General features: G+C 40.4%; 1 long non-coding RNA gene across 7 annotated transcripts in view, besides 1 other annotated feature; it reads right to left on the reverse strand.

The window, feature by feature from the left end:
• Positions 1 to 10,589: 10,589 nt before the first annotated feature.
• LINC03007 (long intergenic non-protein coding RNA 3007) overlaps positions 10,590 to 26,739 on the reverse strand; it is a 196,819-nt gene continuing 180,669 nt past the window's right edge. For 4 of the 7 annotated variants that reach the window (NR_157808.1, NR_157809.1, NR_157815.1 and 1 more), the window contains exons 4-5: positions 13,603 to 13,653; positions 10,590 to 12,005 (exon numbers count right to left, since the gene is read on the reverse strand). This is a non-coding gene — a long non-coding RNA (long intergenic non-protein coding RNA 3007). The remainder of the gene's footprint in view (positions 12,006 to 13,602; positions 13,654 to 26,739) is intronic. The other 3 variants (NR_157810.1, NR_157814.1, NR_157818.1) reach the window with 1 other exon arrangement.
• Positions 19,684 to 19,884: a silencer, noted in NCBI's record as "peak6444 fragment used in MPRA reporter construct". NCBI's record gives its function as "represses an SCP1 promoter by STARR-seq MPRAs in K562 erythroleukemia cells {active_cell/tissue: K562}" and the evidence as "EXISTENCE:reporter gene assay evidence [ECO:0000049][PMID:32103011]".

The raw sequence follows: 26,739 nt of genomic DNA on the forward strand, positions 1-26,739 counted from the left end.
CCAGAACCTACTGGAAAGAGAAAGACCAAATTAGAGCAGATGGTGTTGGTAAACAAGGTGGAGTGCATGAGAGTGTGTCACTAGCGACTAGAGGTTAAAGGCAAAGGGCTTTGGAGTAAGGAAACCTAATTTAGAGTAATAGTATTACCTGGGCCATTGTTTCAGTTATTTGTTACTGTGTAATGCGCACCCCAAACTTTGGTAGCTTAAAACAACTATCCATTATTGCTCATGGGTCAGCAATCAGTTTGATGGTTCTTCCAATCTGGGCCAGGCTCATCTGAGTTCATCTGGACTTTCTCATATGTCTTCAGGAAGCTGGCTGGTCTAGAATGGTCTCTGCTAGAATGGCTTATGGGCTCCACGTGGTCTCTCATCCTTCAACAGGCTAGTCCAGGCTTGTACACCTGGCAGCCCAGAAATTTCCAAGAGAAAAAGCAGAAGAGTAGGAGGTCTCTTGAGACCTAGGCTCAGAACTAGGACACTGTCAGCAAAGCCTCGTTCTATTGTCCAAACGGAAGCCATAAGAACAGTCAAAAGCTGTGAAGTCACATTGCAGAGTGTGGATGCCAGGATTAATGAAGAATTATGGCCACCTTGCAATCAATCTACCACAACGACATTTGAAAGTCATTTCTCTTCTTTGCACCACAGTTTCATCACTTTTTATGAGGAACTAATAAAGGTATCCACCTCAAAGTCTTGAGAATTAAATAAGAAAATGCATATAAAGTACTTAACATAGTATTGGGCACATGGTAAGCATTAAGAAAGTAATAACTCTCATCGTGCTTGTGTATTGATGATCGCAGTTAGAGTTGTTATCATTATTATGTTTATTTTAATAATTATGATGATGTTGAATTTCTATCTGCTGGCTTTTAACACACTTTAGGATATAAGTCTAGTGAAACTGTGTCCAAAAAATTCTAGACTTTGTGGAAACCCTAGTTGGCAGAGCAGAAGGCTACTGATCAGAGATGGGTGATTGTTGAGAGTTCCCCATCTGCCTCCCCATGCTGTTTGGTGAGTATCATTCTCTTTAGGTTTTTGCTGTGCTGGCTGCTGGGAGCTCCCTAAGCTCATTTTCTGTTCCTCAAGTGGAACAGAGAATTCCTACGCTTCCTTCTCTAAGGAAGTGTAGTTTCATACTGTGATTTCAGCAGAAACCACTAATTTTGGCCAGCATTGCCCCCTGAAGGAGAGGAGCAGGCTTCACTCCTGCGACAGCTGACTTTCTGTTCCTTTCTGCTGTTGTCTCTGTGCCCAGTGCTGAAGTCCCTGGAGATGATCATGAAATTCAGGGTGACCAGGTTGGGCAGTGAGGAAGCGGAGAAGTCTCCCAGCCTCCTCTCACACCTACTCCTCGCCAAATCTCCAAGAATTAAAACCAGTTGGCAATTTCTTGGAAAAAGGGAATCGGCCTCTTAAATCTTGAGAAAAGAAAAAGGGTGTTTTTTTTTTTTAATGGCTATTTTGTTCCTGATGATCCTGGCATTTGTACCCCATGCAGACTCTGAACACGTGCAGGAGCTCGTTCCACAAGGCAGCCTGCTAATTTCATTTGCCATCACAGTTTTCCCATCTGCTAAGGGATGCACCCAGACAATTTTCCACATATAATTCACAGTCCTTTGTAATTTAGGCTCAAATAGAATCAACAGCTTGATCAAGACGCCATGGCAAGGACTTCAAGGGCAGGGCTTCCATTGTCTCCCATCTTTTGTGAGTGCATCCTCTCTCTGGCCGTTCTCTGCGTCTCTGTTTATGTCTCCTCCTACCTTGTTTCACAGTCCCTCACAATTTGTATTTGTCCTTCTCTTTCATCAAGCACGATATTTCTGTCTTGCAAATGTGCAGGTCTAACAAGATTCCTCCCATAGATTATGCAGCACAATGATCATTTTTGGGCCCCAACTTGCTAATTGCAGCCCCCACCCCCACTTCATCTGGCCAAGGCTAAGATGGATGCTCAATTTGCATTATTTATGTCTTTTTCTCTGTGTTTCTGGTGATGGCTTTTGCATAACATAGGTAAAATTTTGCTGACATCAAGAATTCATTTGGCTCGAGATGCTCAAAAGATTGTAGGAGTGGGGGGGACCCGGTTTGTGTAAACTCAAAAACCATCAGACATCCTTGCTCTCATCTGTTTCTTAGAGAAAAGTGGGCATTTGCTCCTAGCATTGGAAGGCGGCTTTTCATGAGAGTTCTCTGGATTACCTTGGACAGTCAGGTGAGCTCTTTTGTTTAAAGAACTTTGGTTCCTTTTGAGCTGTCAGTACCCTTTCTTTGAAAGGGCAGGGCAAGGCACCAAGGCTCATTTTAAAGTTCAAACACAAGTCCGTTGCCACATTGCAACTACAGCTAAAGATCATCAGAGCAAGGAGATCTCAGACAGTGTCTAATTTGACCTCCATATTTTGTCGAGGAAGAGACTGAGGCTCAGAAACAAGCAATGGCTCACCAAGGTCACAGAACTGCCACCAGCTAGTTCTGTGGTCTATCATTTTATTTGGTCCTTAAATCCCCTCCAATAGAACAGCAACCTTAAAGGGATCAGTCACTATTCTAAGCACTTCGCATATATTATCTCATTGAATCCTCATAAAATACCTATTCACTGGGACTTGTTGCTATCACCTTCGTTTCATAGATGAGAAGACTGAGGCACAGAGAAGGAAAATAACTTGCCTAAAGTCACATGGCACTAAGTAGCAGAGTTTGGATTCCACCCCAGGTAGCCTGGTTCAAGACTGCTTGATGTAACCACTCTGTTCTCCAACCTCGCTGAGCTGCCCCATTCCCCATATAATAATGCCCAAATTCCTTATTTTGCAACATAAAGCCTTCTACTCCTGGAAAAGCAGCCTGGTATTGGGAAAGGCAGTCTAGTGTGGGCAGTTTTGTGATTCTGCTTGGCCACATAAAAATGGGCCTTGGGCCTAGAGCTCTTCCTTACCAAGAGGTAGGGGCCCTCATAGCCTGTGCTGGGCTCATCACCTTGTGCAGGAATCTTCCTCTATTTCAAACTCAATGAGTACTGCTTAGGCGCAGGCATGGATGGCCCTCAGGCATGTCCCCTCACCTGCCCCCCGCCACCCCTTTTCTGCAATTCAGACCCCCATGGGGGAAGGGGAGGGGTCCTTCTATTCTCCACAAAGTGGGGTGCATGTAGCCACATCACCCACTTTTGCTGCAGGGTGGATCGATGGCCCTAGGGGCAATGCACTGCCAGCTGGATCTCATGCACACTGTCTCTACTCTCTTGCTGTAAGAGAACTGAATGCAGGAGAACCAAGGAGGCTGGTGTGTGTTTGCTCAGCTAGCAGCCTCTAATCATGCACTGGTCTCTTCCTTGGGTGGCACTCATCTGCCTTTTAACCTTGGCTGTACTTATTATATTCTATTCTGACACGCAGCCTAACACCCAGGGAACTGTTTATGAAGCTGCTATGCTGGGGATGACTTTTTGGCTACTTTCATGCATTCACTCTTCTTTGGGTACGCACGGATTTTCTCCTGGAGAGATACTCTTGGCTCCAGCAGAAGGCATGTGACTCAGGACTGGCCCATTAGAGCATCCCATTCCACGTAAGAGCTGGGCGTGTGATCCCTCAGAGCCATGTGCTGGAAAAGACTTGCTTATACCATCAAGAGAGAAGTAAGATTCTCTCTTCTCCACCAGAGCTCCCAGAGCTAAGGACATGAGGTGGGAGTTATCCATAGTTGTCTAGAGAATGAGGCCACTATGGGCCAGATCAGAGCTGAGATGAAGAGGTGGAGAGACACAGGGTCTCTTTGATACCATCTTAACTCTTACCGCAAGCTGAGCCCAAAGCCAGCTACTCTCTAGAATACTAAATTCCATGAGCCAGACGTTTCCCTTTTACTTAAGCCAGTTTGATTTAGGTTCTGTACTTGGAACGAAACTCTCAAATGATTACTGGGCTTCACCAAGTTCTTAGTCTCTCCACCTGGCCCTGCCGCCTCAAGCTCTGTCCTCTTTGAACTTCCTCTTTTCTCAAGCTGAAGTGCCAGTAAGAAGATGCAAGTCAAGCATCTTGTTGCATTTTGCCTGTCTCCCTCCTCTACAATGTAAGCTTCGTGAGAGGAACAAACAAAGAAACAAAAAAACCTAACCTGTCTTATTCTCACTGCTGTAGCCCCAGTGCCTTGAATAAGTCCTAGGACAGCAATAGGCACCCAAAAAATACTGTTGAATAAATGAATAAAGCTTTCCCTGATCATCTTCCCTCTCCTCCCTTTATGCTAAGTTGCTCATCCCCTATCAGACAGTGTTACATTATTCATCTTATACATTCCCTTTCCTAAATTATGAATTCTTTAAGGGGCCTGATACTTCTCCATATTCCCTGTGCCTAGCAGAGTTCCTGGCATAAAGTAAGGGCCCAAAATAATGGTTAATAGAAGGAATCAATTGATTAGGTCAACAGAACACTCTTCATTATACCATCTCAAGCTTTCTTAGCTCCCTGGTTGAGGTTTGCCTTATCCCATTCTCTGGCATCATTCATAATCACCACCTGGGGCTCAGCTGATGGACAATGGAGCAATTAACTTTCTAATGGCCAAGATATGAACCTTCCTCCTTCATGGTCAAGGCAGGAGGAAAGGACACAAAGAAAGGGCTAGCTACCACTCTCTGGGTTAGGTGATATTCAAGCTAGGAGTACTGGCTCAGAAAAGGAACCCCTGAAAAATAACAGAAGGAGGTGGAATGCATGCATTCAATCCACATAACAATCTCCTTGTGCAGGAACTGCACTTGGTTTCATAGTGAGCTCAAGTGCAATATAGTTTGCAGTTACTTTTGCTCCCTTACTTAGCTTTAAAGCTTTAACCTCACTTTGCTACAATAATGACTGCCACATCAATCAGGTCTGGCTGCATAGGATTATCATATCAGTCTATATGTTCCACCAAAGAGTAAGGAGATAATATAACTGCTATTACATTATAAGCTCTTGTTGAACAATAAACCATGCTTTTATGATTTATAACAACACATACTATAGTATTTCCATATTAAAAGACTAGAGTGATTTTACAAAGGAAACTCTTGGTAGACAGTACTTAATTACTACATATGATATGTATTTCATATGCATAATTCTGACATATTTATAAATCATGTTACATGATATATTCAGAAACTCTTTATAAGTGATAACTGTATTTTCTTTTCTTTTTTTTCTTTTTTTTTTTTTTTGAGATGGAGTCTTGCTCTGTTGCCAGGCTGGAGTGCAGTGGTGTGATCTCAGCTCACTGCAACCTCGGCCTCCCAGGCTCAAGCGATTCTCCTGCCTCAGCCTCCCCAGTAACTGGGATTACAGGCACACGCCACCATGCCCAGCTAATTTTTGTATTTTTAGTAGAGACAGGGTTTCACCATGTTGGCCAGGCTGGTCTCCATCTCTTGACCTGATAACTGTATTTTCTAAGCCACTTGCTTCCAAATGCAGGTTTATAACAAAGCTTTTATGGACCCAGAAAAATAAGGGCAATGATATTAGATATATCTTATATGTGTATGTATATAGTATGTGTGTATGATTATAAATTTATGAATGTTCTTTCTTGGGAAAAAAGGCCATTTATTCAAAGACCACAGACTCACACTTTTTTTTTTTTTTTTTTTGAGATGGAGTCTCACTCTGTTGCCCAGGCTGGAGTGCAGTGGTGCAATCTCAGCTCACTGTAACATCCGCCTCCCAGGTTTAAGCAATTGAGACTCACTTTTTTACTTTTTAATATCACCAACGGCAAGAAAAAAGGGCAAGAAATGTCCTCTCTTTTATGAAATAACAGTGTTTGTTATACTGGAAAAATATTGGGGTATTATACTTCAATCTCCTCAATTTTTTGACATTTTACCACATTCTCGGTTTATTGATTTTACTTCATTAGCTCATAAAATTACTCCAGCAAGGGCTCTCATGCTCTGACAAAACCCACAATGGGCCCAATCCTGACACTGCCTCTCTGGAAGTGGCCCATACCCCAAATTGTCCCTCTCTAAACCCTCCACCTCTCCGCCCCTCTGGTACCTGTACTCACCTTCTAATAGGAGGAAAGGCATGGAGAGCTATGAGACTTTAACTCAATGCTTTTTTCAGAGTGCTTGCATTATTAAACAGGATGCATATTACTCCAAAGGGTGATTTCTTATCATGAAATAAGCATGAAATATTACTCTTATTACTCCAAAGAGTAATTTCCTATCAGGCAGTGAGGTCAAGTAGGGTGAATAATTGCAATCAGCATTGGAAAGCTAATGTTGAGCACTTTAAATTAGAACCCTCAGCTGGCTCTCCTGAATGTCTGTCCTCAATGTAAACAGGTTGCTGGAAAAGCCAGAGCAGCAGTCTAGTGATGCCCCAGAAAATAGTCTTTCCCATGAGGTCGGAAATAAGAAGTCATTTCAATATCAGTATGGAAGTGGAGCTAAGAATAGTAATCATCTGCTGGTTATGCCACAAACTTCTTCTGTTTCATTTCTCACTCCCTTTATGACCTTTCTTTCTTCCCACTTTTTATTTTTTACCTCCCTCTTGTCACAAAACACTTTCTCCAAATACTTGAAACATATATTTAGTTGGTACAGCTAGCTACACATTGATATGATCTCTTGTGCAATTTGGATAATGGATTTCCAAGCTTTATAAGGAAGAACAAGCCCTTTTCCTTCTCTCCCAGAAAAGAAAATGAGATCAAGGACCCTTGGCTAAGAACATAATCAAGCCTTATTCAAATAGTAATCTTCAGCTTTTTCTCTTGAAAACTAAGGGAATGTCCATCCAAATCCCAAAGAGGAGAAAGAATATGTGGAGAGAAGAATGTAGAGGAAAGAACCAAGCAACATGACATGGAATTCATGGAGATAGCTGTATCTATTCAATTACAGCATAGGAAATGTTTCTGCTCTTCCTAAAGAGTTTGGGTAGTCCTGTCTGAGAGACTTAATGCTCGTTTCGGGAGATGTGTGCATTTAGGACAACAGTCATGCCTGTAACTCCAGCTGCAGAGGAGACTGAAGTAGACAAGCCCATGGCCACCCTAGGTATGTTTTATATGCCTTCCTCCACACCCCCAAACAGTATTGCCCTTCTCTGAGACCTAGGATGGCAATGGCCACTACTTCTGATCCTACTGAAGGTCCTCTCTGCATCTGTACTTTTCTCAGACTTGGGGAAATACACAAAGAGAAGTAGAGTTGAGGACCCTACTTCAGTTCCCACTTCTGTAACTGGTCAGGAAGCCCAACTTGGTCATCACAGCTGCCTTCTCCCCACCCTTCCTATGTTGTCTCTACCCACTGCCAGCAACTCAGCCAGGTAGGCTCTTACCTGATGGGATGACCAAACTTTCAATCTGGAATAATCTGAGTGCTTGATAGCCTTGGCCTTAACTGTGTTGCCTCACTTTTCCAGTGCCAGAGATTTTTGGGCAAGGGAGTGTGGAGACTGGATTGAAAGGCAGATACAGACTTAAATTTGAAAGGTTAAGAAAGGTATGCAAAGGTAGCATTATTGCCTAAAATATTTCACCAGAAAGGTGAACCTGAGTCTGATCATGCTTCTAGCTTTAACTAATAATTTACTGGGAAATACAGGGAAAAAGGCCCTGATATTTTTAATAAATTGAGAAGGAAGCTGTAGGGGAGATATTTAAAGACTAAGAAAGGCTAAGAGATTTAAGAGACATACCAACAAATTGCCATGTGTGAACCTTGTTTGAATTCCGATTTTAACAAACAGCCTCTTCCACCTCATTAAGAGATAAATATCCAGTACTTTTACTTTTCATGCTTAATAATTTTATTAAAGTTTATATTGTTGTTTGTTAAATATCAGTGGTAGAATTTTTAATACAAAAGATTAAGGGCACAATGAATAAAACTATTAATTTCAAATTTGATACATATTTTCGTTGCAGAGAAGTAAAATGTTCAAGAAAAGTCTTTTAAGTATGACAATACATTTCATTAAGATAAAACCATATGGAGAAAGTAGAATATAAAGAATGCATTTATAGAGATAAAGAAATGTAAAATTTCAAGAGCTTGTTTCTATATTTTTTTTAAAATAGTGAGATAGGCATCAAATTGTTATGATACTTAGGTTCTGTGGATACATTTAAAAGAGTAATATAGACCAGGCGTGATGGCTCAAGCCTGTAATCCCAGCACTTTGGGCGGGCAGCTCACTTAAGGCCAGGAGTTCGAGAACAGCCTGGACAATATGGCGAAACCCCAGCTCTACTAAAAATACAAAAAAATTAGCTGGGTGTGGTGGTGCATGCCTGTAATCCCAGCTACTCAGGAGGCTGAGGTGGGAGAATTGCTTGAATCCAGGAGGCGGAAGTTGCAGTGAGTCGAGATTGCACCACTGCACTCCAGCCCGGGTGACAGAACAAGACTTCATCTCAAAAAATAAAAAAAATAAATAAAAGAGTGATATAACAGTAGAAATGTGCCAGAAATTGCGTCCTTCATAACTGTCAAACATGCCAGAAATTGCGTCCTTTGTAACTGTTACAACTTGTGATTTAAAAAATTTAGATGCTAACTTAAAAGTGTGACAGGGTCCATAGTTTCAAAATTCTTTCAGGGGAATCTAAGAAAAAGAGATTAAAAATCCTTGCTGAATCCACTAATGCTCAACAATTTTTTTGGACTCGTGTTCGTTTTCTTGCATTAATACCTATCTACTCTCCTCAGAATGCATTTTAGGAAGAAAAATTTATATACTCTAAAAGTCTTTAATTGCTACAGTGGTACCAAGAGGCTTGTGCTTCTTAGCATCATTTATTCATTATTCATTTACTTAATACATTTCAGTTGAGCAGATACTAGGTTCAAAAACCTGTGCCAGGTCCCACAGAAATACCCACAGGGATCCGGTACAGATCCTCCTGTTAAAGAGCCTAGCAGTGATCAAACTCTTAAGCTCTGCCCTTGTTTAACACAGTCAGATAAGCCCAGTGAGACTCTTGCAGTAACCTCCTGAAAATTGAAATGGTCTTAAGAGGGTCTTGCACAACCACTATTGAAAATGAGTAAAAACTAAAAAATAATATTTCAAAAGGTATGTTCCCTAATTGTACTCTTAATTGAAATTGCTTCTTGGTTCTCTGGTGGCACCTCTGGAAAGATGAACTAGAAGCCAATTTATAAGGAGGTCAGTGTCAGAGAATCCATCCTTATTACTGGTAGGAAAAAAAAACTCAAGGAGGACAGGCTACAGAGTGATATCAATAATCCAGATCTGTCACTGCATGCCCCTAGACTTTGCAAATGCCCCAAAGATTATGTGTACATGGAGTTCTGATCTGAATATGATTTATCTGCCGCAGTCTGACCAGCTCTGTTGAACAGAGTCAGCTATATTTTTGGGGGCTTAGAAGATGACATTAATATTGCCCATATTTATCACTGTGCGGAGACATGGAGTTGCAAGCTGCAGTTCTGAGTTCTGTGGGTACAGAGTCGCAAGTGTATATTGGTTTCTGATGTGTGAATGATGCATGTGTTAAACCCAGTGAGCTTTTTTAAGAAATTTTTTACTCTTTTATGTATTTCTATCTACCTGCCTTCCTTACCGTACACAAACTCACACACTCATTTGTCCATTCTTACACAAAATAATCCCTTCTTTGATTATTCAGAGAAAAGCCCGTGTATGACTGGGACGTCGAGGATGCAAAAGTCACTATTTCTTAGTGAACAGTACTCCAGGCCTGACTCCTCTGGCAGTACATCAACAGGATGCAGTTCTGCAACTCTGCTTTTTATCAGTTTTGTGTTTTGTTTTGTTCTTAGCAATCAGAAGAGCAATCGCCCACCCATTCTCTCAGCGATTACTTAAAACATCAAGAAGGGATCTAGCCCACTGTTCTCAGTGATGGGCTCTAGGCATTATAAACCAGGCATTTCTGCTTGTCAACATTATTCACTCAGTCAACAAATGCTTATTGACCACCTATGGTATGCAAAGCCCTGGGCCAAGCATTAGGGAGAATTGTCTGTATTTCATAGATTCTGAAACAGTTATTTTTCAACATTTGAATGTCTCTGAATTTGGGGAGTTTACTTGGCAAGGCTTTTTTCTTTCTTAGTGATACCTAAAACAATGCCGTCCTATAATCAATGGCCTCTCAGATTTGATGAAATCCTACATTGTCCATGACATCTCTGCTTTCACCAAAAAAGGGATTATACAGAAGAAGAGGAGGTAAAACTCAGCTATCAGTGGGCTTTTCACTGATCGTCAACTTTCAGAGCAAGAGAAGTCTGAGCTTCTGTGGTTTGAAGATGATCTGTGTGTTTCATCTCCTCGTGCCCTCCCTGGCCTTACAAGCTGTCATAACTTCACATGGATTACCTATTATTATCCTATAGTTCTTAAAATCACAAATGAATTTTTTATTGATGTTGGGGGTGTGTGTGTGGTGCTTTCTGTAAAATAATTCATTAGGAAATTTATTTTTCATCCATTATTGAAGCCATCATTTGAAGAGACTGTTTCTTAGAATATATCTACCATGTGGATATATATGCCAGTGGAAACTAGTTAAAATATTTTTATTAAAGCAAAATAAAGGTTTTTTTGTGGTTGTTTTTGTTTTCCCTTTATTTATCCAAACATTTACAAACTCCCTATGATGCATCAGACACTGCTAAGTACTGTTAGGAGACAGTGACAAATTGGATACAGTTTTTGGCTTCAAAAGACTTACAATTAAAGGAAGGATAAAACCTGTAACTACCAATGCTCATATAGGGAAGAATGAGTGAGTCCTGGGGCCAAGATCCAAGAATATCTGAATGAAATCTGCATCATTCCATGGCACTACATCTACCATTACATATCACAAAACAAAAGCTGTTCTTCCTTTCCTCAGAAACACGGCTGCATCAGGTCTACCCAGGTAGACCACAGAATGATGAACCAAAACAGCCCTTCCACGGTTGATATACAAAGACAACTCCCAACCCCTGGTGGATAGAAAGGACTGCATATTTTGAAAACTTTACAATAAGCCAAGTGTTCCATGCCTCATATACCTGCTGTCATTGTTTTCTACCCACTGATCAGTGTTACCACTGTGTGGTTTCTACCCACTGATTGGTGTTTCCACCCAGTAGTCAGGGTGCTCCCCTGTTCTCCTTCCATAATGTTTCGTACCCTTTCACCCCTGCTCAGCTTCTCCCAGACCCCTCCCTCACGACTTTTTAAACTGGCTTTCAGAATCTTTTACCTTTAATTCCCTTGTAAAATGCTCCCTCTCCTTTATTTGAACTATAAGCTCTTTGAGGACAGGAACCAAGCATGGATGACACAGAGTAGACAATGAAAATATGCTTTGCTTTGTCAAGGAAGGATGAGAAAGAAGAGAAAATAGCTTATCTTCTTGAATATGGGAGTTTAGGAAACTGAAAAAAGCTTTGGCGCACCGACAGAGCAGGAAATTTTACCATAGAAGGCTGAAAAAGTTCAATCCTGGGTTTCCCCTCCTGGAACTATCTGATACCAGTGAATCCTTATCTTCTTTTTTTGCCCCAGCACACATGACAGTTGATAGTCACATGAATAACAGATTGTTGTGAGCAAAGTCAATTTATCTGGAATTCTCACATGATTGACTTTCAAGCCACCTTTCTGTCCTACTTGTTATACAAGTGATTAAAAGTGACGCTAATAAAGAGATAATATTGAATCCATTCTAATCTATGGGGGAAAAGTAAACCCACTTGCAGATTTTGCTATTTCATATTTAGTAACATGCTTCTTGAGACAAACCAGTCTGTGGATGCTCCAACACTGTCTTCAGCCCCTGGCCCTGCACACCCTCAGGACAGCTTAGCTTGCTGGCCACACCTTGTGCCAAGACCCAGAAGTCAGAATTCACAGCCACAGGAGCTCTTCCCACAGCTGGGACCCAGAAATGGTTCTACTTTCTTCTTTCAATATATAAAGGATCTGTAAACAAAAGGAACAAAAGGAAAAGCAGAAACATTATCAACATGAAAAGAAAACCATCCATTCTAAATATGTCCATTTATTTTAAAACAAAGCATACCAACACAAAGCTTTATTTCTAGTATATCCACGTTTATGGTGCCTAATTTTTAGAGCCTCCCATCTTGGGGGGCGAGCCTTTATAACATTTGTTGAGTAAAATTAACTGACTCATCATTCTTCTTCTAGTGATGCAGTCAATGTTTGTAGTTTATTTGAAACTCAAATTGAACTGGGTGTTTTGTGTTTTAGCTGGAATCTTATCCCTAGAGACTGTTGCTTGGGATTCACCAAACACTATATCCACTACTTCTGATCATGAGGATTTGAAGAAATAAGTACTTAATAATGGTGGCACTTCCAGTACTGGGGATCCTATCAAGAAGAAGGATTGGAGACCTCCTCACATCTCAGAAATCACAATACAGGCAGGGGCTCTACTTCCTGTATGGAAGGGGACCCACGTCTTCATAGCTGAGAAGGGAAGGCAGCAGCCAGCAACAAAATAAAAGATAAAAGGGAAGCCAAGCACTTGCAAGAACTACAGTAGATACCATCTTCTGGGCCCTGTACTGCGTCCCCTGTGCTATCCCAAGAGAGCTAATTCTGTTCAGCCTCCTTCCCTCCTGAGCCTCTGAGAAAGTAGAGAATAAGACTATAGTTCAGTGGTTTGAAAGCCATAATATTCTGACAAGGGTTCAATTTATGTTCAGCATTTTTTTTTCTTTTGCATCCCAGTCAGGACTTCCACTCAAGTTCTCTTAAAGGAAGGTAAATATTTACAGGTAGAAAATGGCACTAGGTGCCTTGATAAGTTCAAAGAAACAGTTAAATTTGTGTGTGGATCTTTGTTTTCTTTTTTCTTTTCTTTTTTTTTTTTTTGAGACCGAGTTTTGCTCTTGTTGCCCAGGCTGGAGTGCAATGGCACAATCTTGACTCACCGCAACCTCCACCTCCTGGGTTCAAGCAATTCTCCTGCCTCAGCCTCCTGAGTAGCTGGGATTACAGGCATGCACCACCATGCCCGGCTAATTTTGTATTTTTAGTAGAGATGGGATTTCTCCATGTTGGTCAGGCTGGTCTCGAACTTCTGACCTCAGGTGATCCACCTGCTTCAGCCTCCCTAAGTGCTGGGATTACAGGCGTGAGCCACGGTGCCCAGCCCGTGGTATGGATCATTTAATCACCATATCTGGAATATATAAACATGGCACATATTCTCTTTGCCACCCCCTGCTTTTTTGTAGCCTCAAAATTTGATCCAAGACTGGGAGTTAAAAAGTCCCATTTTGTGTAATCAGGTTCTGGTTGAACATGATTGCTGAATTATTTTAAATTAAAGACACATGTCTGGGGATTGAGCTGTATGTATTATTTCAGGATGGTGTCCATTAGGCCTTATCCACAGGGGCTATCTTCAACTTTTGCCACATTCAATGCATTCTTTATACATCAGTATTTTCAAAATGGTGAATCACATGTAAGGGAAAATTGGAGGGAATATGGTACTCGTTAAATGGTGATTTTTTGAAAATTATCTTGAACGCATTATTCAAACCTGTTTCCAGTCTCCCCTGCTAAGGGCCCCACTGCTGGTTGGAAAAGTTCTCTGGGGGGAGAAAAAACAATATTTTAAAGTCAATAACAATGCATAAATAAATAAAATCCTACAGTTGTGCAAGGCCCTTTTGCAAGCCTAAATCTTTGAAGACTTTACAACTGAATCAACATTTACTTTAACTCCTTGTCAGCCCTAAACACTTTAAATGTCTTAATTGCAGATCTAAATCATTGCGGCTGCCATCGGTTTTTCACTTTGAATGCAGATGTCCCTGAACTGAGGCTTTGTCAGACTTCACCTCGTAAGGGCAGCCTGCCTATTTAATAAATCGTTGCATCATGTCAAGGGCTCCTGCCCGGACTTACAGGTCGCCTTTCGTGAGGAGCAGTCAGGGTGAGGGAAACTGTGTGGCTGAATTCGTCTGTTGGCCCAGCCACATCAGGCATCCCTCCACTCCAAAGATCTCCTTCCTGCTAGGAGCTGGTGCGTCTGCTGCATGGTTGTTCATTTGCACAGCTTTATGGAGGTATTATTTACGTATCATAAAACTCACTCTTTTGAAGTCAAAACTCAATGATTTTTTTCATAAATATTCAGAGTTGTGAAACCATCACTGCAATCTAATTTTAGAGCAATTCCATCACCCCCAAAATAAACCTCATGCCCATTTGTAGTCATTCCCTCTTCCCACCTCTGGCCCATGGCAGTCACTAATTTTTCTGTCTCTATAGATTTGCCTTTTCTGGACATTTTATATACATGGAATCATACAATATGTGATCTGATCTTTTTTACTTTGCATAACTTTGAGATGTGTTCATGTAGCAAGGAGCAATACTTTTTTCATTGTAAGTAATATTCCACTGTGTAGATATACCATATTTTGTTCACCCAGGCATCCACTGATAGACATTCATCTGGGTCACTTCCACTTTGCAGCTATTATGAAACAACCTTCTGTGAACATATGGGTATTTTTTAATGAATTGGAGGTCAGATTGCTATTGTCATTCACAGTCAACTTTAAGTTGGGCTTACTCTTTTTTCAAGAAGTCACCCATATTTTTGTTAAAGCTGCCTATTGGAACATTCCAGAATAAAGTAGACTCCTGAGGGCTTCAAAAAATAATATTTATCAGAGTGAGACCCTCGGTAATTCCAGGGCATCAAGTGGTTAAACATAAGGGAGGGAACCATTGGAAGGAAGTTTCAAGACCAAGAGCGATTTGAAGAGCAGCAGGAGCCCCTTCTATGCCAGTCGTGACCCAGAGTTTAAAGAGCTCAGACCCACATGCGCCTACCACGCAAGTGTTCCTTCTGGCAGCCTCGGCACTGCCGGACTTCTGCAAGCCCTGCTTTCTTAAATAACATGGGGGCTACTCAGGGAGAAGTCAAGTTGGAAGTGGCAGGGGAGGTGAACAGGTCGTAACACAGGGAACGGAGTTGTCAGGCTTTGTTTATTTTCATGTCTTCTAAGACTTCAGCGACTGATAGGAGAGGCCAGCCATTCTGCCATCGAGGAAGGAGTGTTGTACTTGATGCGGAAGCAGCTAGATCAAAAGGCGCCCTTCTGTGTTGCCCCAAATCACCCATCTAGAGCCATGAAAAATCCGTGTCATGAGAAATCCTTTCCCCAGAAATCATCATGGAAAGCAGGCATATAAAAGGCAAACTGGTTTAGGAAATGTAATGTTGATCAAAAGGAAAGCCCCGCGTCCTGGGCCTGGCACAGCTCTAACTCTGACTGTGGCCTTGGGCAGGTCACTCACCACTCTGGGCCTCGGCTTCCTCGTTGCGAAATGAGAGAGATTGACATCTGGATTTCTGCCTGAGGTTTTTTTTCCCACATTCAATATTCTGTTTCTCTGAAGACTATGAAAACTGAAACTTTTGAAACCCATATTTAAAAGTGAAACCAGTAGCATCATCCCATTGGCAATCAAGCTACTGATGTCAAGAGGCATGATCTGGAATGCCAAAGGGTGAATAATTAGCATAAGGAACACAAGGTTTTTAAAATGTTGCCCAGTGGCACCCCTCCTTTATTTTGCAGATAGGAAAATTGTGGTTGGTTTTTTTACATATTCTCTTGCAGGTTGTTTAGCTTCTTTGTGTCGGAGTTAGGAATTGACCTAACATTTTAGGACTTCCAGACCTTTTACTGTATCAATTAATCCAGATTGCCTAGGAGAAAAGAAAATAATCATTCAAGAGCCTGTATAAAATAGGCCAGCATTTAAAAAAAAAAAAAGGAAGAAACTCTGACCTTCTAGCCAAAAACAAAAGCCATATTATTCTTGTTTTTGCTTTATGATTTCGGTTCTTATTGGAATGATGAAATCCTGCTGAAGAAAGAGGATGAAGGGTGGTTACAGTCTGATAATAAATGATGAGGCTGATGGACACCCAAGAAGAAAGAATGTTCCTGTTGAGAAGAACGTCAGCATGTCTCTTCCTCCCTTTTCCTCAGTTGCTTATGTCCTCTCTTGCCCATGGAGCCATCTGACATCTCTTGGCCAGGCTCTCAGACACATAGCCAGCTTTGGAGGGCTTAACACGCTTTCATTAGGACTTTCAAGTACATATCTTGCTGGAAGCCAGCGATCTCGGTCCACTTCCCCATGGCAACAACCAGCCTTAGAGTTCACAGGGATGCCTGCTCCTTTGAACTCCGTACAGAGTATTCCAGAGCCCTGGATTTTGACTGTCCTCCAAAGCCAGTGGCCAGCCTGGTAGTGAAAGAAATCTGGGGACAGATGGTATGAAATTGAAATCACATAATCACTACCCTCTCCCAAATGCTGGCCTGTTATATTAGCGAGTCTCCACAAAGTTCTGTGGCACTCATGCTGGTCTTGCTGGAGGCCTGCATCTTAAACAAGGGCGCCTGAACATCAGGGCTGATGAAGAGCTGGCCCATTAAAGAGGAATTTCATCAACGTCGTGTGGTCCCTCCGTGACCATCAGAACCACATGTGCATTTGAAGAAGTCCTCATGCCACTGGACCAATGACAAGGTCTCTTTCAACTTAGACCCATCTGTTGTTGAAAAACTACTGTATTTGTGAGAAGCCATTCTGAGGTGGAAAGGGAGTCTGATCTTTGGGGGAAAACATGGCTACAGGGGTTCTTTCCTCTGAAAATCTGTAAATTTAGCTAAAAGTTACTTCAGGAGAAAAAGCCATTGGTAGCAAGAACTTGGCATCATGGAAAGATCCCAACATCCTCTTTTGATTTACTGTAGATGTCTGGCAACTTCTCTTTGCTTCCCCTCTCTCAATTGTAAGATAGAAATGGTCAGTGTTCATGTTATAAACCAACATTTGCCTGCCCGAGCTGAATTCTTGTCAACCTCTGAAGCTACTGAGTGGGGAATGAAAGAAAGTGAGGGGAGGAGGAAGGCCCCTGGTGCACCCTGGAGGAACAGCACAGATTCCAGCTGAAATCTACATGAGGCTGGCTGATTCCACTTCTTCCAATCCTCAACTTTCATCAATGCCAGCAACAGCATATGGGACAATAGGATGCTTTGGTTGGCATCGACTCCTGGCCTGATGGTGTTAGTTTATTTTCATGGCAAATAATTATATTCTCTCCTTTCCTAAATATTTCAAAATGGTGCAAATAATATATAAATCCATAGGCATAAAAGTCATTAGATTCTTCAAGCAAGGGATTTTTAAGAATACACAAAATGACATATTAGATTTCTCCAAGCTCTTACTCAAAAAAAGCAAATAAACATTTATTTATTAAAACATGCTTGTCTCATTTTACCCTATTGTCATCCAAAAGGAGGAACAAAGGCAGAGAATTTGGAGTTTAATAATTTGTATTTTAAAGTGCCTCTTCCACTGCTTACTACTTGGATGATTAAAAAGAGTCTGAATTTCAGTTGTCTTATTTGAAAAAGTCAGTATGATAATAGTAAATAAAAACAAGAGCAATTTTAAGGGATTCTTGTAAACATTAAAAAAGTTATTATTATAAATATTAAAAGTACATGCTTTTTAAATTGTAAAGCCTTAAACAAAAACTGGTTATTATTGTCCATGGAGAGTAAAAGTGAATTCACCAAAACATCTGGAAAAGGTTTGTCTTTTGCACAGGGTTGTTTTTAGTGCGAGATGAAGAGAAAAATTCTGAGAATAGCATGATGAGAAGTGAGCTAGTTTCTACAACTTCTTTGTCTGCATTTCTCTCTTTCTGATTATGTCTCCAAAACTTCCTCGCTTCTTGAGCAGAATTCTCTATATTTCATAAACAGGGAGACATTGTTGTCAAAAGAACTCAAACTTGTGTTTGAGACAATCCTCCTGCCGTCTCCTATCTCTTCCAACACCTTTCCTCAGAGATCAGATACATTTTCCTGGCAAGATGTTCATTATTCAGAGGTTGCTTTGCAATTTCCTACAATTTCTGTTCACTTGCAAATAAAACCATGCCTTTATTTTAGGATATAGGGAAAGCTTTTAAGAACAGAAGTTAAAGTCAAGCATGAATAAATTTTATGCATGGCAAATATAGACTTTGATAACATTGTCTCCATCAGGGTTGATTGTAAGTGATTCATCACTTTCTTACTCATGTTACTGATAGAAATACTGGAGTTCTGAGTTTGTAAATTAATAAAACCCCTTATCGATAGCACAATATTCATTTAATAATATATTCCTAACACAGACCCATTGTATGAACATACATTGATTGCATTCTTAAATGGATCACATTACTGCATTTTTATCTATGGAGTTGGAATTATCCATCCCTCTAGAAGCCAGAAGTGTCATGAATTTTCTTTAGCTAATTCAGAGGGAAAAGGGTGAAAAGACTGGGGGCCAGGAGGCAAGACAGCATGGTGTTCAAAAGAAAGGTGGCCTTAGATTTTGAGAAGAGATGGCATGCTAAAGCACTGTGCCTTCTTCAGTTTATCTACACTGCCAAAAGTCTTTATGGAAAGTATAGTCTTTGGATTGCACTGGCCATCCTATGGACAAAACAGTAAGATGTTCTTTAAAATGTTCATTTTCATCTATATGTTAAGGAGACAAGCAGCAAGCTTTAGCAATCCTGCTAGCTAAGTAGTTCTGAACTTTTTCTAAGGGAGATGGGCAAGGATACTTTTCCAACTCTGATGAAGATTCCTCTTCCAAGCAAAAAACAAATATAAAACATTGCCTACCAATTCAGGCATTTTATGAATTGCCTGAACCCCATTTACTTCAGCTATTAAAAATAGCTGAAGTACTCCATGCCTCCTGAATGTACCCCTTTCTTAGCTCTTTTTCACATAAGTAATGGTCATGTTAACAACAGAGACTCTCCTTTATATGAAGCCATATGTCATAAATAGTATGTGATATGATTTATATGGTCAATAGTATCAATAAGTAGTATAGTCATACGTCATAAACAGTGATATGATTTATATGGTCAATAGTATCAATAAGTAGTATAGTCATACGTCATAAACAGTGATATGATTTATATGGTCAATAGTATCAATAAGTAGTATAGTCATACGTCATAAACAGTGATATGATTTATATGGTCAATAGTATCAATAAGTAGTATAGTCATACGTCATAAACAGTGATATGATTTATATGGTCAATAGTATCAATAAGTAGTATAGTCATACGTCATAAACAGTGATATGATTTATATGGTCAATAGTATCAATAAGTAGTATAGTCATACGTCATAAACAGTGATATGATTTATATGGTCAATAGTATCAATAAGTAGTATAGTCATACGTCATAAACAGTGATATGATTTATATGGTCAATAGTATCAATAAGTAGTATAGTCATACGTCATAAACAGTGATATGATTTATATGGTCAATAGTATCAATAAGTAGTATAGTCATATGTCATAAACAGTGATATGATTTATATGGTCAATAGTATCAATAAGTAGTATAGTCATACGTCATAAACAGTGATATGATTTATATGGTCAATAGTATCAATAAGTAGTATAGTCATACGTCATAAACAGTGATATGATTTATATGGTCAATAGTATCAATAAGTAGTATAGTCATACGTCATAAACACTAACCTTTTTTCTAAACCTTTTTAGCCCTTAATGGTCAGCCGAGGACAAAGACATCATCCTTTTATTAATTTTTTAAATGCCATAAAGTTAATAAAAAGTAAAACTATTTCCTGGAAAAGATTCCCCAATTCTTTGCTTTCCAGAAGGAATCTACATCTCTGTATCTATTTATTTAACTATTAGTCATCACTGCAATGAACACTTTCTTAATAATGAAACAAGTAAAATCGATGTGAGAGGAAAATCTTAATTAAAGAAATCCTAGCTAAAGAAAGAGCTAAAGAACGTAGTAATTCCTTTTTGTGGAAAATGGGTGAGGAGTAAAGACCTTTTATAAGAAATAAATTTCCTATGCAAATAAAAACTTGGTTTTATTTTTTAAATACAATATTATTTTTTAATAATGACAGAAGACTTAATGTGTCAGTTTTTTTCCTCATTTCATTGAGAATTAAGGGCCACCAATACTTTTTTTATAAGATACATCAAAAGCACATAAAGATCTTTCAAATTTTACCAAAGGTTTTCATTTAATTAAATCGACTTATTTAAAAGATATTATTTTATTCTGAAATAAATAGTTGCATAAATTCATATTCTTCTTTGTTAACAATTTTAAAAACATTTCTTGTATAAAAAATCAAAAGCAGTAGATGGCCGAATAGGAACAGCTCCGGTCTACAGCTCCCAGAGTGAGCGACGCAGAAGACGGGTGATTTCTCCATTTCCATCTGAGGTACCGGGTTCATCTCACTAGGGAGTGCCAGACAGTGGGCGCAGGCCAGTGGGTGCGCGCACCATGCGCGAGCCGAAGCAGGGCGAGGCATTGCCTCACCTGGGAAGCGCAAGGGGTCAGGGAGTTCCCTTTCCGAGTCAAAGAAAGGGGTGACCGACGCACCTGGAAAATCGGGTCACTCCCACCCGAATACTGCGCTTTTCAGACCGGCTTAAAAAACGGCGCACCACGCGACTATATCCCACACCTGGCTCGGAGGGTCCTACGCCCACGGAATCTCGCTGATTGCTAGCACAGCAGTCTGAGATCAAACTGCAAGGCGGCAGCGAGGCTGGGGGAGGGGAGCCCGCCATTGCCCAGGCTTGCTTAGGTAAACAAAGCAGCCGGGAAGCTCGAACTGGGCGGAGCCCACCACAGCTCAAGGAGGCCTGCCTGCCTCTGTAGGCTCCACCTCTGGGGGCAGGACACAGACAAATAAAAAGACAGCAGTAACCTCTGCAGACTTAAATGTCCCTGTCTGACAGCTTTGAAGAGAGCAGTGGTTCTCCCAGCACGCAGCTGGAGATCTGAGAACGGGCAGACTACCTCCTCAAGTGGGTCCCTGACTCCTGACCTCCGAGCAGCCTAACTGGGAGGCACCCCCCAGCAGGGGCACACTGACACCTCACACCGCAGGGTATTCCAACAGACCTGCAGCTGAGGGTCCTGTCTGTTAGAAGGAAAACTGACAAACAGAAAGGACATCCACACCAAAAACCCATCTGTACATCACCATCATCAAAGACTAAAAGTAGATAAAACCACAAAGATGGGGAAAAAACAGAACAGAAAAACTGGAAACTCTAAAACGCAGAGCGCCTCTCCTCCTCCAAAGGAACGCAGTTCCTCACCAGCAACGGAACAAAGCTGGATGGAGAATGACTTTGACGAGCTGAGAGAAGAAGGTTTCAGAGGATCAAATTACTCTGAGCTACGGGAGGACATTCAAACCAAAGGCAAAGAAGTTGAAAACTTTGAAAAAAATTTAGAAGAATGTATAACTAGAATAACCAATACAGAGAAGTGCTTAAAGGAGCTGATGGAGCTGAAAACCAAGGCTCAAGAACTACGTGAAGAATGCAGAAGCCTCAGGAGCTGATGGGATCAACTGGAAGAAAGGGTATCAGCGATGGAAGATGAAATGAATGAAATGAAGCGAGAAGGGAAGTTTAGAGAAAAAAGAATAAAAAGAAATGAGCAAAGCCTCCAAGAAATATGGGACTATGTGAAAAGACCAATTCTACGTCTGATTGGTGTACCTGAAAGTGATGTGGAGAATGGAACCAAGTTGGAAAACACTCTGCAGGATATTATCCAGGAGAACTTCCCCAATCTAGCAAGGCAGGCCAATGTTCAGATTCAGGAAATACAGAGAACGCCACAAACATACTCCTCGAGAAGAGCAACTCCAAGACACGTAATTGTCAGATTCACCAAAGTTGAAATGAAGGAAAAAATGTTAAGGGCAGCCAGAGAGAAAGGTCGGGTTACCCTCAAAGGGGAGCCCATCAGACTAACAGCGGATCTCTCGGCAGAAACCCTACAAGCCAGAAGAGAGTGGGGGCCAATATTCAACATTCTTAAAGAAAAGAATTTTCAACCCAGAATTTCATATCCAGCCAAACTAAGCTTCATAAGTGAAGGAGAAATAAAATACTTTACAGACAAGCAAATGCTGGGAGATTTTGTCACCACCAGGCCTGCCCTAAAAGAGCTCCTGAAGGAAGCGCTAAACATGGAAAGGAACAACCGGTACCAGCCGCTGCAAAATCATGCCAAAATGTAAAGACCATCGAGACTAGGAAGAAACTGCATCAACTAATGAGCAAAATCACCAGCTAACATCATAATGACAGGATCAAATTCACACATAACAATATTAACTTTAAATGTAAATGGACTAAATTCTCCAATTAAAAGACACAGACTGGCAAGTTGGATAAAGAGTCAAGACCCATCAGTGTGCTGTATTCAGGAAACCCATCTCACGTGTAGAGACACACATAGGCTGAAAATAAAAGGATGGAGGAAGATCTACCAAGCAAATGGAAAACAAAAAAAGGCAGGGGTTGCAATCCTAGTCTCTGATAAAACAGACTTTAAACCAACAAAGATCAAAAGAGACAAAGAAGGCCATTACATAATGGTAAAGGGATCAATTCAACAAGAGGAGCTAACTATCCTAAATATATATGCACCCAATACAGGAGCACCAACATTCATAAAGCAAGTCCTGAGTGACCTACAAAGAGACTTAGACTCCCACACATTGATAATGGGAGACTTTAACACCCCACTGTCAACATTAGACAGATCAACGAGACAGAAAGTCAACAAGGATACCCAGGAATTGAACTCAGCTCTGCACCAAGCGGACCTGATAGACATCTACAGAACTCTCCACCCCAAATCAACAGAATATACGTTTTTTTCAGCACCACACCACACCTATTCCAAAATTGACCACATAGTTGGAAGTAAAGCTCTCCTCAGCAAATGTAAAAGAACAGAAATTATAACAAACTATCTCTCAGACCACAGTGCAATCAAACTAGAACTCAGGATTAAGAATCTCACTCAAAGCCGCTCAACTACATGGAAACTGAACAACCTGCTCCTGAATGACTACTGGGTACATAACGAAATGAAGGCAGAAATAAAGATGTTCTTTGAAACCAACGAGAACAAAGACACAACATACCAGAATCTCTGGGACGCATTCAAAGCAGTGTGTAGAGGGAAATTTATAGTACTAAATGCCCACAAGAGAAAGCAGGAAAGATCCAAAATTGACACCCTAACATCACAATTAAAAGAACTAGAAAAGCAAGAGCAAACACATTCAAAAGCTAGCAGAAGGCAAGAAATAACTAAAATCAGAGCAGAACTGAAGGAAATAGGGACACAAAAAACCCTTCAAAAAATCAATGAATCCAGGAGCTGGTTTTTTGAAAGGATCAACAAAATTGATAGACCGCTAGCAAGACTAATAAAGAAAAAAAGAGAGGAGAATCAAATAGACACAATAAAAAATGATAAAGGGGATATCACCACCGATCCCACAGAAATACAAACTACCATCAGAGAATACTACAAACACCTCTACGCAAATAAACTAGAAAATCTAGAAGAAATGGATACATTCCTTGACACATACACTCTCCCAAGACTAAACCAGGAAGAAGTTGAATCTCTGAATAGACCAATAACAGGATCTGAAATTGTGGCAATAATCAATAGTTTACCAACCAAAAAGAGTCCAGGACCAGATGGATTCACAGCCGAATTCTACCAGAGGTACAAGGAGGAACTGGTACCATTCCTTCTGAAACTATTCCAATCAATAGAAAAAGAGGGAATCCTCCCTAACTCATTTCATGAGGCCAGCATCATTCTGATACCAAAGCCGGGCAGAGACACAACCAAAACAGAGAATTTTAGACCAATATCCTTGATGAACATTGATGCAAAAATCCTCAATAAAATACTGGCAAACCGAATCCAGCAGCACATCAAAAAGCTTATCCACCATGATCAAGTGGGCTTCATCCCTGGGATGCAAGGCTGGTTCAATATACGCAAATCAATAGATGTAATCCAGCATATAAACAGAGCCAAAGACAAAAACCACATGATTATCTCAATAGATGCAGAAAAAGCCTTTGACAAAATTCAACAACCCTTCATGCTAAAAACTCTCAATAAATTAGGTATTGATGGGACGTATTTCAAAATAATAAGAGCTATCTATGACAAACCCACAGCTAATATCATACTGAATGGGCAAAAACTGGAAGCATTCCCTTTGAAAACTGGCACAAGACAGGGATGCCCTCTCTCACCGCTCCTATTCAACATAGTGTTGGAAGTTCTGGCCAGGGCAATCAGGCAGGAGAAGGAAATAAAGGGTATTCAATTAGGAAAAGAGGAAGTCAAATTGTCCCTGTTTTCAGACGACATGATTGTTTATCTAGAAAACCCCATCGTCTCAGCCCAAAATCTCCTTAAGCTGATAAGCAACTTCAGCAAAGTCTCAGGATACAAAATCAATGTACAAAAATCACAAGCATTCTTATACACCAACAACAGACAAACAGAGAGCCAACTCATGAGTGAACTCCCATTCACAATTGCTTCAAAGAGAATAAAATACCTAGGAATCCAACTTACAAGGGATGTGAAGGACCTCTTCAAGGAGAACTACAAACCACTGCTCAAGGAAATAAAAGAGGATACAAACAAATGGAAGAACAATCCATGCTCATGGGTAGGAAGAATCAATATCGTGAACATGGCCATACTGTCCAAGGTAATTTACAGATTCAATGCCATCCCCATCAAGCTACCAATGCCTTTCTTCACAGAATTGGAAAAAACTACTTTAAAGTTCATATGGAACCAAAAAAGAGCCCGCATCGCCAAGTCAATCCTAAGCCAAAAGAACAAAGCTGGAGGCATCACACTACCTGACTTCAAACTATACTACAAGGCTACAGTAACCAAAACAGCATGGTACTGGTACCAAAACAGAGATATAGATCAATGGAACAGAACAGAGCCCTCAGAAATAATGCCACATACCTACAACTATCTGATCTTTGACAAACCTGAGAAAAACAAGCAATGGGGAAAGGATTCCCTATTTAATAAATGGTGCTGGGAAAACTGGCTAGCCATATGTAGAAAGCTGAAACTGGATCCCTTCCTTACACCTTATACAAAAATCAATTCAAGATGGATTAAAGATTTAAACGTTAGACCTAAAACCATAAAAACCCTAGAAGAAAACCTAGGCATTACCATTCAGGACATAGGCATGGGCAAGGACTTCATGTCCAAAACACCAAAGCAATGGCAACAAAAGACAAAATTGACAAATGGGATCTAATTAAACTAAAGAGCTTCTGCACAGCAAAAGAAACTACCATCAGAGTGAACAGGCAACCTACAACATGGGAGAAAATTTTCGCAACCTACTCATCTGACAAAGGGCTAATATCCAGAATCTACAATGAACTCAAACAAATTTACAAGAAAAAAACAAACAACCCCATCAAAAAGTGGGCGAAGGACATGAACAGACACTTCTCAAAAGAAGACATTTATGCAGCCAAAAAATACATGAAAAAATGCTCATCATCACTGGCCATCAGAGAAATGCAAATCAAAACCACTATGAGATACCATCTCACACCAGTTAGAATGGCAATCATTAAAAAGTCAGGAAACAACAGGTGCTGGAGAGGATGTGGAGAAATAGGAACACTTTTACACTGTTGGTGGGACTGTAAACTAGTTCAACCATTGTGGAAGTCAGTGTGGCGATTCCTCAGGGATCTAGAACTAGAAATACCATTTGACCCAGCCATCCCATTACTGGGTATATACCCAAATGACTATAAATCATGCTGCTATAAAGACACATGCACACGTATGTTTATTGCGGCATTATTCACAATAGCAAAGACTTGGAACCAACCCAAATGTCCAACAATGATAGACTGGATTAAGAAAATGTGGCACATATACACCATGGAACACTATGCAGCCATAAAAAATGATGAGTTCATGTCCTTTGTAGGGACATGGATGAAATTGGAAACCATCATTCTCAGTAAACTATCGCAAGAACAAAAAACCAAACACCGCATATTCTCACTCATAGGTGGGAATTGAACAATGAGATCACATGGTCACAGGAAGGGGAATATCACACTCTGGGGACTGTGGTGGGGTGGGGGGAGGGGGGAGGGGTAGCATTGGGAGATATACCTAATGCTAGATGACGAGTTAGTGGGTGCAGCGCACCAGCATGGCACATGTATACATATGTAACTAACCTGCACAATGTGCACATGTACCCTAAAACTTAAAGTATAATAAAAAAAAAAATCAAAAGCAGCTATAGCCAAGTTAAACTTCAAAAATTAACTTCAAACAACTGAAAATTATAAAAGGCATATGTTTTTGTTTTCTTTATTGTATCCCCAGGTAAATTATGGTATTAAAAATACCTCAGTCAAGGGCTTTACTCATGCCATAAAGCCTCATGTTACTTCTCAAAGAAACGAGAAAGAAAATAATTATATATGGGTAGATTATATGGTGATAATATTGTATAAGAATACTTTAAATGGAGTTGCCAAGATGGTTGCTTTATATTAAAAAAAGTCTATAAAACATATAATTCATAAGTGGACTCTTCTGCATTAGTAGAGTGAATGTTTCATTTTCAGAATTACAGACATATAAAAATCATACTTCCCTGCTATGAAAGACCAGTAAACATCCTT

Source organism: Homo sapiens, chromosome 7 (assembly GCF_000001405.40).
Source record: "Homo sapiens chromosome 7, GRCh38.p14 Primary Assembly".
NCBI classification, from domain to species: Eukaryota; Metazoa; Chordata; class Mammalia; order Primates; family Hominidae; genus Homo; species Homo sapiens.